Genomic DNA, 14140 nt, shown 5'->3' on the forward strand with positions numbered 1-14140 from the left:
GTGGCAGCTCCATGGGCAGCTCTGAGGGCCAAGGACAGAGGAGGTTGTTTTGGGGGAGTGGGGAAGGTGGCTTGGAGGGGGCGGACTACAAAGACTAGCTTGGGTTGGGGCATGGTGAGTGCAAAGGTCCCGAGGCAGGAAAGAATGAGGATTTTGAGGTCCTGAACAGAGGCTGGCAGTGGGGAGAAAGGACATGGCAGCGGGGGTGGGGAGCAGGCCTCAGGGCCAGGAAGCCATGGGGGCAACCAAGTGTGGTTCTGGGGGCATGGAGGAGCCAAGAGGAGAGGGTGAGGTGGAAGGTGGCCAGACTCGATTTGTGTTTTTAGCAGACTCTGCAGTCAGGACTTGGGATCTGGACCACAGGAAGGGAGAGCGACAGCTGGGATGTGACCATTTTCACTGCAGGGCACCTGGGAAGGGGAGAGGGCGTGAAGTGGCCCAGACGTGGCTTTCCATTGGTGACCTCGTGCCCCACTCTCCACTGCCCCTTTTCACTTAACACTTCAGGAAACAGGTTCAGAGAAGGGAAGGGAATGGCCCAAGGTCCCTTGGCCCAGAATTGTACCTAGACAGGTGCACCTGGTCCCAGACTGCTCTCTTCTCACCACCCCACACTGCCCCCAATCTGTCAGGTAAGAAACTTTGGGTGGGAAGGGAGAAGGAAATTGAACCAGGGAGGTGATTACTGCCTCTCACACACAACTGGGCAGCAGGCGAAAGGCCAGGCGGCCCAGCCCCCTATCCAGGGTCCCCAGAGCTTGTTATTGGTATGTTGTGCTCACCTCCCTGTCCAGGAGTGAGAATTGGCTGTGTCTGACTCCTTGGGAAGGCTGTGTCCCCAGCCTGGGCCCTGTGGGTACTTAGTCATCTCGCACCCCAGAGTCACTCTGACCCCCGATGTGAACTGACCACTGAGCTTCAACAAATTAAGGGCCAAGTGCAGGAACAAAGTTGGATCCCACCCTCTTCTGCTTCCTCAAGCCACGGCCCGGAGTGATGAGCCACCTCCGCTCTGACCTCACCTCCTCCCAGCTCCCTGACTCCTTCGGCGGGGGGCCTGGCCAGCTTGTTCGGCCACTCTGGGCTCCAGGCTCTTCAACTGGAAAGAGATGCTTGTGGAGTTCCTCATGGCAAGTCTGGGCAAGCCAGCCTGACGGCCAGCCTGCGACTCCTTGTCCAGAACTCTGTCAACTCCACCAGTGCCTGTCACGGAAACCGCATGGCCACCAGCTTCAGGTGACAGGCCTCTTGCCTGGGTGATGAGCTTCCCAGGCCCATGCTATGGTGTGCGCTTTTTCACAGGAAGAGGATCGAGAGCAAGGGTCCCATTCTGGTGGTCCTCAGCCCGCATCTGGCCCACAGATGTTTAATTGGGCTGACATAATATATAGTTTTACCTTTTTTTTTTTTTTTTTTTTGAGACGGAGTCTCACTCTGTTGCCCAGGCTGGAGTGCAGTGGCGCCATCTCAGCTCACTACAAGCTCCGCCTCCCAGGTTCACGCCATTCTCCTGCCTCAGCCTCCCGAGTAGCTGGGACTACAGGCACCCGCCACCACACCCGGCTAATTTTTTTGTATTGTTAGTAGAGACAGGGTCTCACCATGTTAACCAGGATGGTCTCGATCTGCTGACCTCGTAATACGCCTGCCTTGGCCTCCCAAAGTGCTGGGATTACAGGCGTGAGCCACCGTGCCCGGTCTAGTTTTACATTTTTAATGCATTGCCAACATTTGAACATGAGTAGCTTTCACACAGAAAGATGGCTCTTTGGCTCCTCTGAAACACTGGACGACCGGGTGCCCTGCAGGGCCACAGTGAGCCAGAGGTGGGGGACATGGGCTCCAGACAAATCCCATGCCGAGCAGACCATGCCAGCCATCAACACCGCAGGCCTGGCCCTTGGGCATTGGAGTAATGGGTCTAGAATTTCCTTCACATTGTCAAAGGAGCCTGTGACCCAGAAATGGTAAGTAAGGTCCGATTCTCACCAACAAAGCAGGCATGACCTCAGACAAGTCCCTACCCTGCTCTGGGCCTCAGTTTCTCCTTTAGTGAGGAGGTGGGTGAGGGTCCTGTCCTCCTCCGGGAACTGGCGATTTGGGAAGGCAGAGACATTCCCAGAATCCGCCGGAGTCCTGAAAACACCCACGCCCTTTGTCCCAGCAATCCTGAGAAAGGCCACACTGATAAAGCTGTGGGTGGCCAGATGACAGCATTCTTGGGCCTCAGACGAAGTGGGAGGGGCCCACCCGCTTAGCTCCTCATAGCCCAGGGGAGCGGGGACAGTGCCTGCTGGGGCCGTGGGCAGCCCGGTGCCAGCCCCTACTGGCATTTCGATGATGCCACAAGTGCCGTGCCACAGCAGGGAGCCGCACAGTCATATTTTGCAAGGTTTTGAGGAAAGAATGCCAGTGTGGTAGGAGGGGAGACCAGTCCCCTCCCTCCCACCCCTCTGGGCTCCATCTGAAGCTGGTTCCTGAGAAGCACGATTGTGCCTTTTCACTGAAGGAGGGGCCCCCAGCTGTACTATGGACTTACTGACTTGTTTCCCAGCTCAGCCTGCCCCGGAGCAGAGCTAGGCAGGACCTTGGTGAAGAGGGTGCAGGGCTGGCCTGGCCTGGTCATGACACTGGGATAAGGAAGCCTGCTCTCCTCCCACCACTTCCAGCTCACAGGGGAATCTGAAACAGCCTCTCCTTTAGGGCTAGGGTTGCCTTTCAGCCACAGCGCCTATAAACCCATCACGGCACAGTGTTTGCCAGATAAGGCATCATCTTGGGTGAAAAATGTAGATTTTTCATCCTACGCAAGTAGGATGAAATCCAAATGGACTTATGGAGACACAGACACCTTTGTTTCAACACCTGGCCACAAGGCCCCCCAAAAGCTTCTATAAACAAAAGGGCTGACAGACCTAGCTCATCCGGTAGGCCCAGATCTTCCTTGCCCGGGGTGCCATGCAGGCAACCCACCCCGGGCTAGGGCAGTGGAGGCTTGATGACCAGGTGAGCTTGGGAGTCCCTGGGCAGAGGCAGGTCTCAGTCCCAGGGCCTTGGGTCTGCTGCTGGGTGTGATGAGTTAATAAGGAGGGCATGGTGTGCAGAATGAGCTCGGGTCCTGGCCATGGGACATCTGGCCAGCACTGTGCCCCTTGGAGCCCATCTTTCCATGGGATCATTAGAGTCCTTCTCTTGCAGCTGTTGGGAGAATGAAACACAAGGAAAGCCCAGGACCAGTACCAGGCACAGGGTCAGTGGCGACAGGTGAGACCACTCCATGTCCCCAGACACATCTGTCCTCTGAGCCTTTCACCTTGGGCTTGCCACTGGACTATCTCTCAAGTAGAAGGGGCTATGGGCGCCCCTCCCTGGTGGTCAGCAGTGGGGTGACCACCTCCTAAGGCAGTGAGTTCCCCATCAATGCGCGTGGCGGTTACTGAAGTGGGGCTGGGGCTGGAGCTGAGCCTGCTGGCTGGGAGAGGGGAAGGCTGCAGTGGCTGGGGAGCCAGGTCCAACCCAGCAGCCTGGTGGCCCCTTCCCACTCTCAGGGAATATCCCACACCTTCCCTGAGCACTGCCTCTGGGCCAGGCCCTGCTGGGAAGGGAGCTGAGAATACCACAGACTGGTCCCCACCCTTGTGGGGCTCATAGGCTGAGGCTGCTAAGTAACATCCCTGTCCCTGTGACACTCGGAACAGGAAGTCAAGAAAGAAGGTTCAGGAATCCTTTGCTGTTTTCCTAATACCAGACCCATCTTTTTCTTTAGCATGTCAACAACTCCCCTCCCTTCTGCGCCTGGAGATTCCTCTTTCTCCTTCAATACATATTTTGAAATGATATTTATTAACATAAAAATTATAAAACCTTTCAAACATCCAGAAAAATATAAGGAAAAATACCAAATATCCATGTTCTCACCACTTGGATTTAACACATGTGAACATTTGCCATGCTTCAGATCCTCCTTTTAAAACAAAATTGTATGACACAGCAATTGATGAACGGATCATCAGTACAATGGACTGTTATTCAGTCGCAGACAGGAATGATGTGTGGACTTGCCATGGTGTGCATGAGCCTCGAAGACATGATGCTGAGTGAAGGAATCAGACACAAAATGCTGCAGATTGTCTGATCCCATGTATTGAAATGTCCAGCTCAGGCAAATCCGTGGAGACAGAAAGCAGGCGAGTGTCTACCAGGGGCTGCGGGGAGGGGATGGGGAGTGACCACTTAGTGGGTACAGGGCTTCCTTTTGGGGTGAAGAAAATCTTTTAAACTTAGGTCATGGTGATGGATGCACAACTATTTTACTAGAATAAAAAATCACTGAATTGTACAATTTAAATGAATGAATTTTCTGGCATGGGGATTGTATCTCTCTCTCTCTCTTTTTTTTTTTTTTTTTAAGATGGAGTCTCTCTCTGTCACCCAGGCTGGAGTGCGATGTTACAATCTAGGCCCACTGCAACCTCTGTCTCCTGGGTTCAAGCGATTCTCTCACCTCTGCCCCCTGAGTAGCTGGGACTATAGGCACCCACTACCACACCCGAGTTAATTTTGTATTTTTAGTAGAGACAGGGTTTCACCATGTTGGCCAGGCTGATCTCAAACTCCTGACTTCAAGTGATCCACCTGCCTTGACCTCCCAAAGTGCTGGGATTACAGGCATGAGCCACCACGCCTGGCGAGTGGACTGTATCGCAATAAAAATGTGCATTAGTCTACTAGGGCTGCTGTGGCAAAATACCATGGACTGGGTGGCTAAAACAAGCAATTTTCTCAGAGTTCTGGGGGCTGTAAGTCCCAGATCAAGGTGTCTGTGGACAGGGCCTTCTGAGGGCTGTGCAGGAAGGCTCTGTTCTGGGACTGTCTCCTTGGCACGGTAGCGCTGTCTTCCCCCCATGTCTCTTCTCCTTGTCTTCCCTCTATGCACATCTCTGGGTCCAAATTCCCCCCCACCTTTTTTTTTTTTTCTTTGAGATGGAGTCTTGCTCTGTTGCCCAGGGTGGAGTGCAGTGGCACAATCTTGGCTTCACTGCAACCTCCGCCTCCCGGGTTCAAGTGATTCTCCTGCCTCAGCCTCCCGAGTAGCTGGGACTACAGGCACCCGCCACCACGCCCAGGTAATTTTTGTATTTTTAGTAGAGACGGGGTTTCACCATATTGGCCAGACTGATCTGGAACTCCTGACCTTGTGATCTGCTCGCCTTGGCCTCCCAAAGTGCTGGGATTACAGGCGTGAGCCACCATGCCCGGACCCAAATTTCCCCTTTTTATGAGGGCACGGGTCATGCTGGATAAGGGCTCACACTACTGACGTCAGTTTAACTTGATGACCTCTGTAAAGAGCCCATCTCCACATAGAGAGAGATAATTATTGCTCCTGTTGCTGTGGCTACTGATGCCATTTGGGGGATTCGTGGCAAGAAGGATGAACTGAGAGCGTCCGCGACATTGGGATCCAGGCTGGCAGCATCTTCCTGGCCGTCCGAGAGGGCTCTTTTCCCCGCCTGGGTGCCTGATCCTACCTACCCTATGCCCTGTGGCCCCCAGTGCTAAATTCCCGAAAAGCCTGGTAGGCCCTTGGTGCCACGAAGCCCCCGAGATCCCAAGTACAAAGCACAGGCAGAAACTGTAGGGGCAGGGGGAGCCACGGCAGGCCTCGGAGAGCTCGGGGAAGGCCACACAGCTCTGGGCTTCCGCCTGCTGTCCAGAGGCTATTAGTAAGGACAGAGCCTGGTGCCAGAGGTCAGGGCAGGTGGGAAGCAGGAGACCCTGAGGCACCCCATTCCTCGAGCAGGGCTCCAGCCAGGCTTGTTGGGAAGTACTTGACTCCATCCCCCATGCCCCACATGGGTAGGCCCCTCTCCCTTGGGTCAGGGCCAACCACATGGTCCTGCTGAAAGCCAGCCCCCTCCCTTCGGTGACCATGGCCTCCCGAGGGACTCAGGGTTGGGAGAGCAGCCAGGAGTATCTCCAAAAGCCAGGAGCTGACTGAATCCACAGCCAGACCACTTGCTCTCTGCAGAACCTTCCTGAGAAAGAACAGGGCTCCTGTCTAGCTGTCCCAGAGGGCAGCCGGGCCCACACCCCTGGCCAGGGGCATCCCCACCCCCTCTGATATATCACCCCACATGGCCCATGGCTGGCTCTGTTAAGGGGCACCCTCAAAAGCAGGCTCTGACATAGGGTTGGGGACAAGTTGTTTTGGGGGACATATGGTCCCAGGAAACACCAATAGAGGAGGGAGGAGGTAGACCTGAGGGAGGGAGGCCAAAGTGACCTATGTTAGTGAGTGGGGCCTTGCTGTGGGCCTGGCTCCCCTGGAGACCCTGCAGAGAGGCACAGCACCCTGTACTCTCCCTCCTGGAGCCCAGTAGTGGGTGTCACTCACTAACTCACAGCCCTTATTGCTCTGAGCTCCCGGGATTTCTGTCCCACCTCTCTGGAGGTGACAGGCACAGGATCCCTGGGCTGGGCAGGGACTGTCTGTCAGGACCTCAGGAATACCCCAAGCACAGGCAGCAAAAGCATATGCTTCCCCCACAGAGGGGTCAGGCTTGGGTCCCCTGAAGCACTTCTAGCTGTGCAGCTGTGGGCAAGTCACAGTGAGCTGTTGCTGACAGCAAAGGCGCTAGAATGTCAGCTCCCTGAGCAAAGGGGCTGGGTCTGTTCTGTTTCCTGCTTTATACCCAGAGCCCAGCCCAGGGTCTGGCACACGCAGTGCTTGGCTAATATTTGTAGGTAAATGTCTCGTGGCTCATGGTGTAAATCTCACTATCAATCATTGGTACCAATTCATTGACACTTCCTATGTGCCAGGCACGGCGCTGGGTGCTTGGCACCTCATTTCTGCTCTGGATAATCCATTGTTGTTACAGTAGTAGGATCACCCCCAAACATACACATGATGAAACGGAAGCAGAGAAACCAAGGTCACCCAGCCAAAAGTAGCAGAGATTTAAGCCAGGTTCCAGAGCCTGCATTTCTTATTCATTAAAAAAAATTAGGCCGGGCACAGTGGCTCACACCTGTAAGCCCAGCACTTTGGGAGGCCGAGGTGGGAGGGTCCCTTGAGGTCAGGCATTTGAGACCAGCCTGGCCAACATGGTGAAACCCCATCTCTACTAAAAGTACAAAACTTAGCCAGGTGTGGCAGCACACACCTGTAGTCCCAGCTACTCGGAAGCTGAGACATGAGAATCACTTGAACCAGGGAGACGGAGGTTGCAGTGAGCCGAGAGCCGAGATTGCGCTACTGCACTAAACCTGGGCCACAGAACGAGGCTCCGTCTCAAAAAAAAAAAAAGAAGAGGAAATTATGTGTGGAATCAAAGAAAACAAGTCAAATACACACAAAGAACAAAACAAGCCTAGAGATCTAATGTACAGCATGGGAACCACAGGTAAGAAAGTTGCACAGTGCATGGGATTCATGTTAAGTAGATTTTAGCTGCTCCTGCCACAAAAGCAAAACTACGGTTCACTGTTAATATCTCAGATGATGGATCTGTTCATTTGTTTCATTATAGTTATACTTTTACTATCTTTATATATAATATAGCTTTTATACCTTAAATATACACAATAACATTTATTTATTTATTTTTAATTAATTAATTTTTTTGAGATAGAGTCTCTCTCTGTCTCCCAGGCTGGAGCACAGTGGCGCAATCTTGGCTTACTGCAACCTCCGCCTCCCAGGTTCAAGCGATTCTCCTGCCTCAACCTCCAGAGCAGCTGGGATTACAGGGGTGTGCCACCATGCCCAGCTAATTTTTGTATTTTTAGTAGAGAAGGGGGTTTCACCATGTTGGCCAGGCTGGTCTTGAACTCCTGACCTTGTGATCCACCCATCTCAGCCTCCCAAAGTGCTGGGATTACAGGCGTGAGCCACTGGACCCAGCCAGCATTTATTTATTTATATATGTATGTATATATTTCTTTATTTTTTGAGATGGGGTCTCACTCTGTTGCCAAGGCTGGAGTGCAGTGGTGCCATCACTGCTCACTGCAGCCTCAACCTCCCCAGCTCAAGTGATCCTCCCACCTCAGCCTCCCAAGTAGCTAGGACTACAAGGGGCTCACAATCACACCCAGCTAATCTTTGTATTTTTTTAGAGGCAGGGTTTTTCCATGTTGCCCAGGCTGGTCTCCTGGGCTCAGGAGATCCTTTCACCCCAGCCTCTCAAAGTGCTGGGATTACCAGCGTGAGCTGCCACACCTGCCTTTGCCTGTTCTTGAAATTCAACCAGAGCCTGGCCTTTTTGCCATCATGGTATGTGGTGTCGTCTGTTCAATAAAGATCTTGAGCAAATTCTGGACCAGGCGTGTGGACGGGTAGGTGGAACTCAACCCTCATGCCCAGTTTTCTCAGCCCTACCCTATGGTTCCAGAGTGATGGCTGTGTGCACGATTCTGAAAGCTGTGTGCGGTGCTGCTCAGGAGCCAGGAGGACACTGGGCCACACTGGGTGTGAATCCTGGCCCCCCACTTCCTGGCTGTGTGAACGTGGGCCAGTTACCCAGATCTCAGTTTCCCCAACTACAAAGTGTGAGTAAGGATAATACTTCCTCCTCAGACAGTTGTTGTGAGGATCAAGATATGAGCTTAAACCGGGTGTGGTGGCTCAGACCTGTAATCCCAGAACTTTAGGAGGCTGAGGCAGGAGGATCCCTTGAGTCTGGACGTTCCAAGATACTGTGAGCTATGATCACACCACTGCCCTCCAGCTTGGGTGACAGAACACGATCTCATCTCAAACATTTTTTTAAAATTAATGAAAAAAAGAGTCCATGCTTAGAATAATCCTGGCATTGGGCAAGTCATACAGAAGTTGTTTTTATAACATGTTTTTTTTTTTCTCTCATTATAAAAGTCACACGTGTGTGTGGTTGCAAGGTCAGGTGGCAATGGGTACTCTGGTCCTTTTTCCTGGAGCTGCTGGACCATCACAGGGCAGAGGGGGTCAGACTTCCTAGGGCGCCTCACTCAGCTGCCCTTGTCCGCCTGGACAGACTTGCCTCTGGGTGTGGCCATTGCGAAGGAATCCTGCCCCATCGCTGACAATGAGCTGCATTCTTCAGAGAGGCTGCCCCAGTCCCCCCAGCTGACGTAAGCCCTGGGCGTGGCAGGTGCACTCAGGAGGCAGGGCTGCCTGCTCAGTGTTGGGTGGAGCCACATGCCTGTCCAGGGCTGGGTCCACCCTGTGTGGACTGAGGCCACCATGTGCACGGTTTTCAGCTATGCCTCATTCGCTTGCTGTGTGAATCTGGGCTGCAGGGCCTGCTGCTGTGTGCCACAGGCCAGTGCCCTGCAGTGCAATTGTACCTGAGGACCCAAGGTGGCCAGGGAAGCCCCAGGTGCGACTTGGCAGGGGAAGCAGGGGCTGTGGACGGATGGAGAGCTGTCATGTGGAAAGGCAGTGTGTCCCCAGGCCGTGGCCCAGCCTCCAACACCCCCAAGTCCCCTCCAGGCCTCTCCAGACCAGGCCCACCACATACTGCCTGTGCAACCTCGGGTGAGTGACCTCACCTCTCCAAGCCTCAAAGTCCTGATCCCCATTGGGAGGGTGCAGTCAGAGGGTGAGTCTGAGCCCCCTGGGGCCTGGCAGGCTCTGTATGCATGGCAGCCACCTGCCCACACTCACCCCAGACATCTGCTCATTCCAGAAACCTCCTGGGAACATCCACCATATGCCAGGCATAGTGTCAGACAGGAGGGGACAGAGAAAAACAAGATCAACAACCGCCCTGCCCTTGTGGAGCTGGCGTTCTAGTACCGGAGACAAAACAAGGTGCTTCCAAGGAGGAAGCCGTGCTCATCAGGTAATCCGCATAATCGCTCAGGAGGAGACTTGGCAGCCAGATGGAGACGCCACCTGGGGTCTTAGGGGAACAGCATTCCAGGCAGAGGGAACTGCAGCTGCAAAGATCCTGAGGAGGAATGAGTGCCCAGCGTTTGAGAAGCAGAGCCGGCCTCTGGACGCCTGCCCTAGGGAGAAGGCTTTCCACCTCATTTTTAGGGTCCTAGGGGATCCCCTCCACTGTGAATGCACGAATGCACAAGGATGACATCGGCCCTTTTATAGAGGGGAAGTTCTTCCCGTAAACAAACCAAAGTCCCTCTGGGGGACTTTGCAACTGAAGCTGAGCCTTCTCTTTTAGTCACTCCCACCCCCCAGACCCAGAGCCAGCTGATTCCTCCTGCATCCTGCTCACAGCTCCAGGAAAGCGTCCTGGTGGGGAAAGTCAGTGAAACACCAGGTGGCCTAAGGTATTTTCCCAGGACCTCAATGTGACTAGACAGGGCTAGCTTATCAACCCTGGGATGCGATGAGAGGGGCAAAGCCCGGCAAAAGAAACTGGACCCAGGGCACTGAGGGAAGCCTAGGTCCCGTCTGAGTGCTCCGCACAGGGATAGGAGGAGAGACAGTCGGGGGTTTTGTGAGGGAGGGGATAGGTGGGTGGTAGTAATGAGGGGTGTTCAAGTCAGTGCCCAGCAACCAAGAGGAGGAAGGAGGTAGAGGGGGTGTCAAGCAAGCCGTAGCTTCAGGCACAGCTGGATCCATAACCCTGAGGCTTGGGCTATGATGGCTGTTGCCCAACCCCCACTCCCATATCACCCAGGTCTCAGTCACCTTCCTCTCTGTGACACAACAGCCTCCTCCCTAGGGCTCCTTCCTTCCACTCTTGCCCCCACAAATCCATTCTCCATATATTGTTAAAACCATGCCACTCTCCTGCTTAACCCCTCCCCCCATGGCTTCCTGACGCCCTCCACATAAAGCAGAAACTCCTTACCCAGGCCCCAGAGACCCCCGCTGACCTCCCCAACCCCACCTCTCTCTCCTCTCCCCTCACTGCCTCTGTCCTTTCTGTCCCTTGAACACACCAAGCACATCCCCACCTGGCCAGCATTGCACCTGCTGTCCTGTCCCCCGGGTGCATCACCATGTGGCCGCCCCTTCTCAGCAGGACAGCCTAGATGTCGCTGTCCTCGGCCATCTGGCCCCCAGCCTTCTGTCCACTCCCCACACCAGCCCTGTCCGGCAGCTCCTTCTGTGATGGAAGTGCTCTTTGTCCACTGTCACCAGCCTCTGTCAGAAGCTACCGGCCCCGTGTGGCTAACAAGCCCCTGAAATGCGGCTACTGCAATGGAAGAACTGGACTCTTAATTTTCAATTACTCCAATTACTTGAAACTCATATAGCCACATGGGGCTAGTGGCCACCATTTGGACAGAGCGACTCCAATGTTCTACATGGTGTAATTTTATTTACTAGCCCTTAGCACAAAGTGACGTGATCTTAACTTCACTTGTTTTCTGTCTCTCTGACGAGAGTATCAGCTTTGTGAGGTGAGGATTGCCTCCGTCTTTTCCACTGCTGTATGCCGGGGCTTAGTAGTGGGCCTGGCGTATAGTAGATGCTTAATATGTAATTGCTGAATGAATGAATGAATGAATGAATGAATGAATGAATGCATGCATGAGTGAATGAATGACTCCTGGGGCCATGAACTCTGAATTTCTCCAAAAGGAATGCTAGTTCTGCCGGGGATTGTTGCTGTGTGACCTAAGTCAGGATCTTGCCCTCTCTGGGCTCAGCATCCTGACCAAGGGGTACCAGGGCCCCTCTGCTCCTAAGGCTCTGAGACTTCCTGCTGCTTACTCTGTCCAAGCTGCCCCGTCTATCCTTCATCCCCGATGCCCACCCCCAGTCTCCCCAGCCACTTCATAGGAAAGGGGCCAGACAGGCTTCCTGTCCCTGGAGCCTGTGTCTAGAGAGCCATCAAAGCAGGCTGCCTGTACCCGTCTCCTAGCAACAAATGGCCTTAGGAAGTATTTGAGGGTGGGATAAAGTGGTGGCCACTGTGGGGCTGTGTCCCAAATCGACAGCTCTCCAGTTGGCCAAGGGCAAGTGTTTCCCAGGAGCCAGGCCAAGGCAGGCTGGCAGTCGTGGTACATGCACCAGGAGTCGGCTCCAGGGTCCTCCAAGCCTGGGCCCTGCAGTCGGCCACCCTTACCTTCTCGTGCCTGTGCTTGGGGTTCAGAGGTGGCAGGGGGTGCTTGGGCCCTACATGCTTCTTGTGGGGACCTGTAGGAACCAGGCATGAGGAAGTGAGGAGTGGGTGCTGACTGTCAGTGACTCGAACCCTGACTGCCCCAGCATCCAACACTCACACGCATGCACATGTGCCTACTCAGCCGGACACAACACACAACTATGCATGCTGACACGCACTTGTGCAGAGGCATAGGCACAGACTGCACTTACCTTATTCTATTTATTATTTTTATTTTATTTTTAGAGACAAGTTCTCACTCTGTCGCCCAGCCTGGAGTGCAGTCATGCCATCCTAGCTCACTGCAGCCTCAATTTCCTGGGCTCAAGCGATCCCCCCGCCTCAGTCTTTCAAGTAGCTGGGCCTACAGGTGTGTGCCACCATGCCCAGCTAATTTTTAATTTTTTTGTAGAGATGAGGTCTCACCATGCTGTCCGGGTTGGTCTCAAACTCCTGGCCTCAAGCGATCCTCCTGCCTCAGCCTCCCAAAGTGCTGGGATTATAGGTATGAGGCAACTTGCCAAGCCCAAACATGCACATAGATATGGACACATGGACCTGCATATATAAAACAGACATGCAAACATATACAGCTCAATCAGACAGAATACACACACACAATGACACTCACAGACAATCACATAGAAGCCCAGATATATATGCAGTGGGGCCAGCCAGATAGCCCAGTTGCCCACAAACACACATAAATATGTACCATCATCTCACAGATCATATGACATGCAAAGATGGATGCATCTGTACAATTCACACACATATTCACAAGTCAGAGATGCAGGTCAGACCCCCAGATAAACAGGCCAACATGCATGTAGACACATAACATGGTCATTCCCAGAAACACCCTCAGAGATAGCCAGACCACCCTCTGGACATGCACAGACACAGACACATAAGGAGATGATATATCAATGACTCTTACACACACCCACGAGTCACAGCCCCTGAAGTGATATGGTGAACTAGAAGTGTCAGCCCCCATTCCTGTGGACTCTGAGCAAACCTCCACTCCCCAGCCTGGCCACACGCAGGCACGCAGGCCGGAAGAGCTGCCGCCTCTCCCTGCCCCGGCCAGCTGGCCGTCCTCCAGGCTTGGTGCAGATGGTGGGGCCAGGGCAGGGACAGCCCAGCCTGTGGCCTGTGTTGCCTGCCTCTTGAGTCCCAGGCCTCTTCTTCTTGGCTGTGGGACCCTGAAGGCCCCCTCCCCACAGCTGAGTAGGCCCTGACAATTTGTGTAACAACCTCGATTTCTGATTTCTTTTGGAAAATTAAAAGATCGATCACGACCAGGCCCAAATCCTGTAGGACAGACGGCTACGACCGAGGCCATGGAGCTGCTGCCTGTTGTAGGAGCATGGACACCCCAGATCACTGAGGCCACTGCTGCCACCTGCCTGGCCCTAGAGGCCTCTGAGTGTGCAACCCTGGAACTACATGCTTCCCTGCATGTCCTGAAAAAGAAAAACATGTCAATCCAGAGAGCAGATTACTACAACTTTCTTGGCTCTTTGTTTAGTGATACTTATCAAGAGCCTTACCAATGTGTTTATCTTTTGACTTAGCAATCCCAACCCATGAATTTATCCTAAGAAAAAAAAAATTTAAAAAGTACACAAACATTGTTCATGAATGGCTAGATACGCACATACGCATACATATGCAGCCCTGTGTCCCTGTGTGTATGCACATGTACATTATATATATATACATATATATATATATATATATATATATATATATAATTTTTTAAGATGAAGTCTTGCTCTGTCACCCAGGCTGGAGTGCAGTGGCGCCATCTCAGCTCACTGCAACCTCTACCTCCCCGGTTCAAGAGATTGTCCTACCTCAGCCCCCCGAGTAGCTGGGATTATAGGCGCACACCGCCATGCCTGGCTAATTTTTTTGTATCTTTAGTAGAGATGGGGTTTCACCATGTTGGCCAGGCTGGTCTCGAACTCCTAACCTCAGGTGATCCGCCCACCCTGGCCTCCCAAAGTGCTGGGATTACAGGCATGAGCCACCGTGCCCAGCCTACATGTGCATATATACACATT

General features: G+C 53.3%; 2 annotated features.

The window, feature by feature from the left end:
• Positions 619-1566: an enhancer, noted in NCBI's record as "H3K4me1 hESC enhancer chr17:16923086-16924033 (GRCh37/hg19 assembly coordinates)". NCBI's record gives its function as "activates a minimal SCP1, AML or CMV promoter by ChIP-STARR-seq in naive and primed H9 embryonic stem cells {active_cell/tissue: H9 hESC(naive and primed)}" and the evidence as "EXISTENCE:reporter gene assay evidence [ECO:0000049][PMID:30033119]".
• Positions 10211-10785: an enhancer, noted in NCBI's record as "H3K4me1 hESC enhancer chr17:16932678-16933252 (GRCh37/hg19 assembly coordinates)". NCBI's record gives its function as "activates a minimal SCP1, AML or CMV promoter by ChIP-STARR-seq in naive and primed H9 embryonic stem cells {active_cell/tissue: H9 hESC(naive and primed)}" and the evidence as "EXISTENCE:reporter gene assay evidence [ECO:0000049][PMID:30033119]".

Source organism: Homo sapiens, chromosome 17 (genome assembly GCF_000001405.40).
Source record: "Homo sapiens chromosome 17, GRCh38.p14 Primary Assembly".
Taxonomy (NCBI): domain Eukaryota; kingdom Metazoa; phylum Chordata; class Mammalia; order Primates; family Hominidae; genus Homo; species Homo sapiens.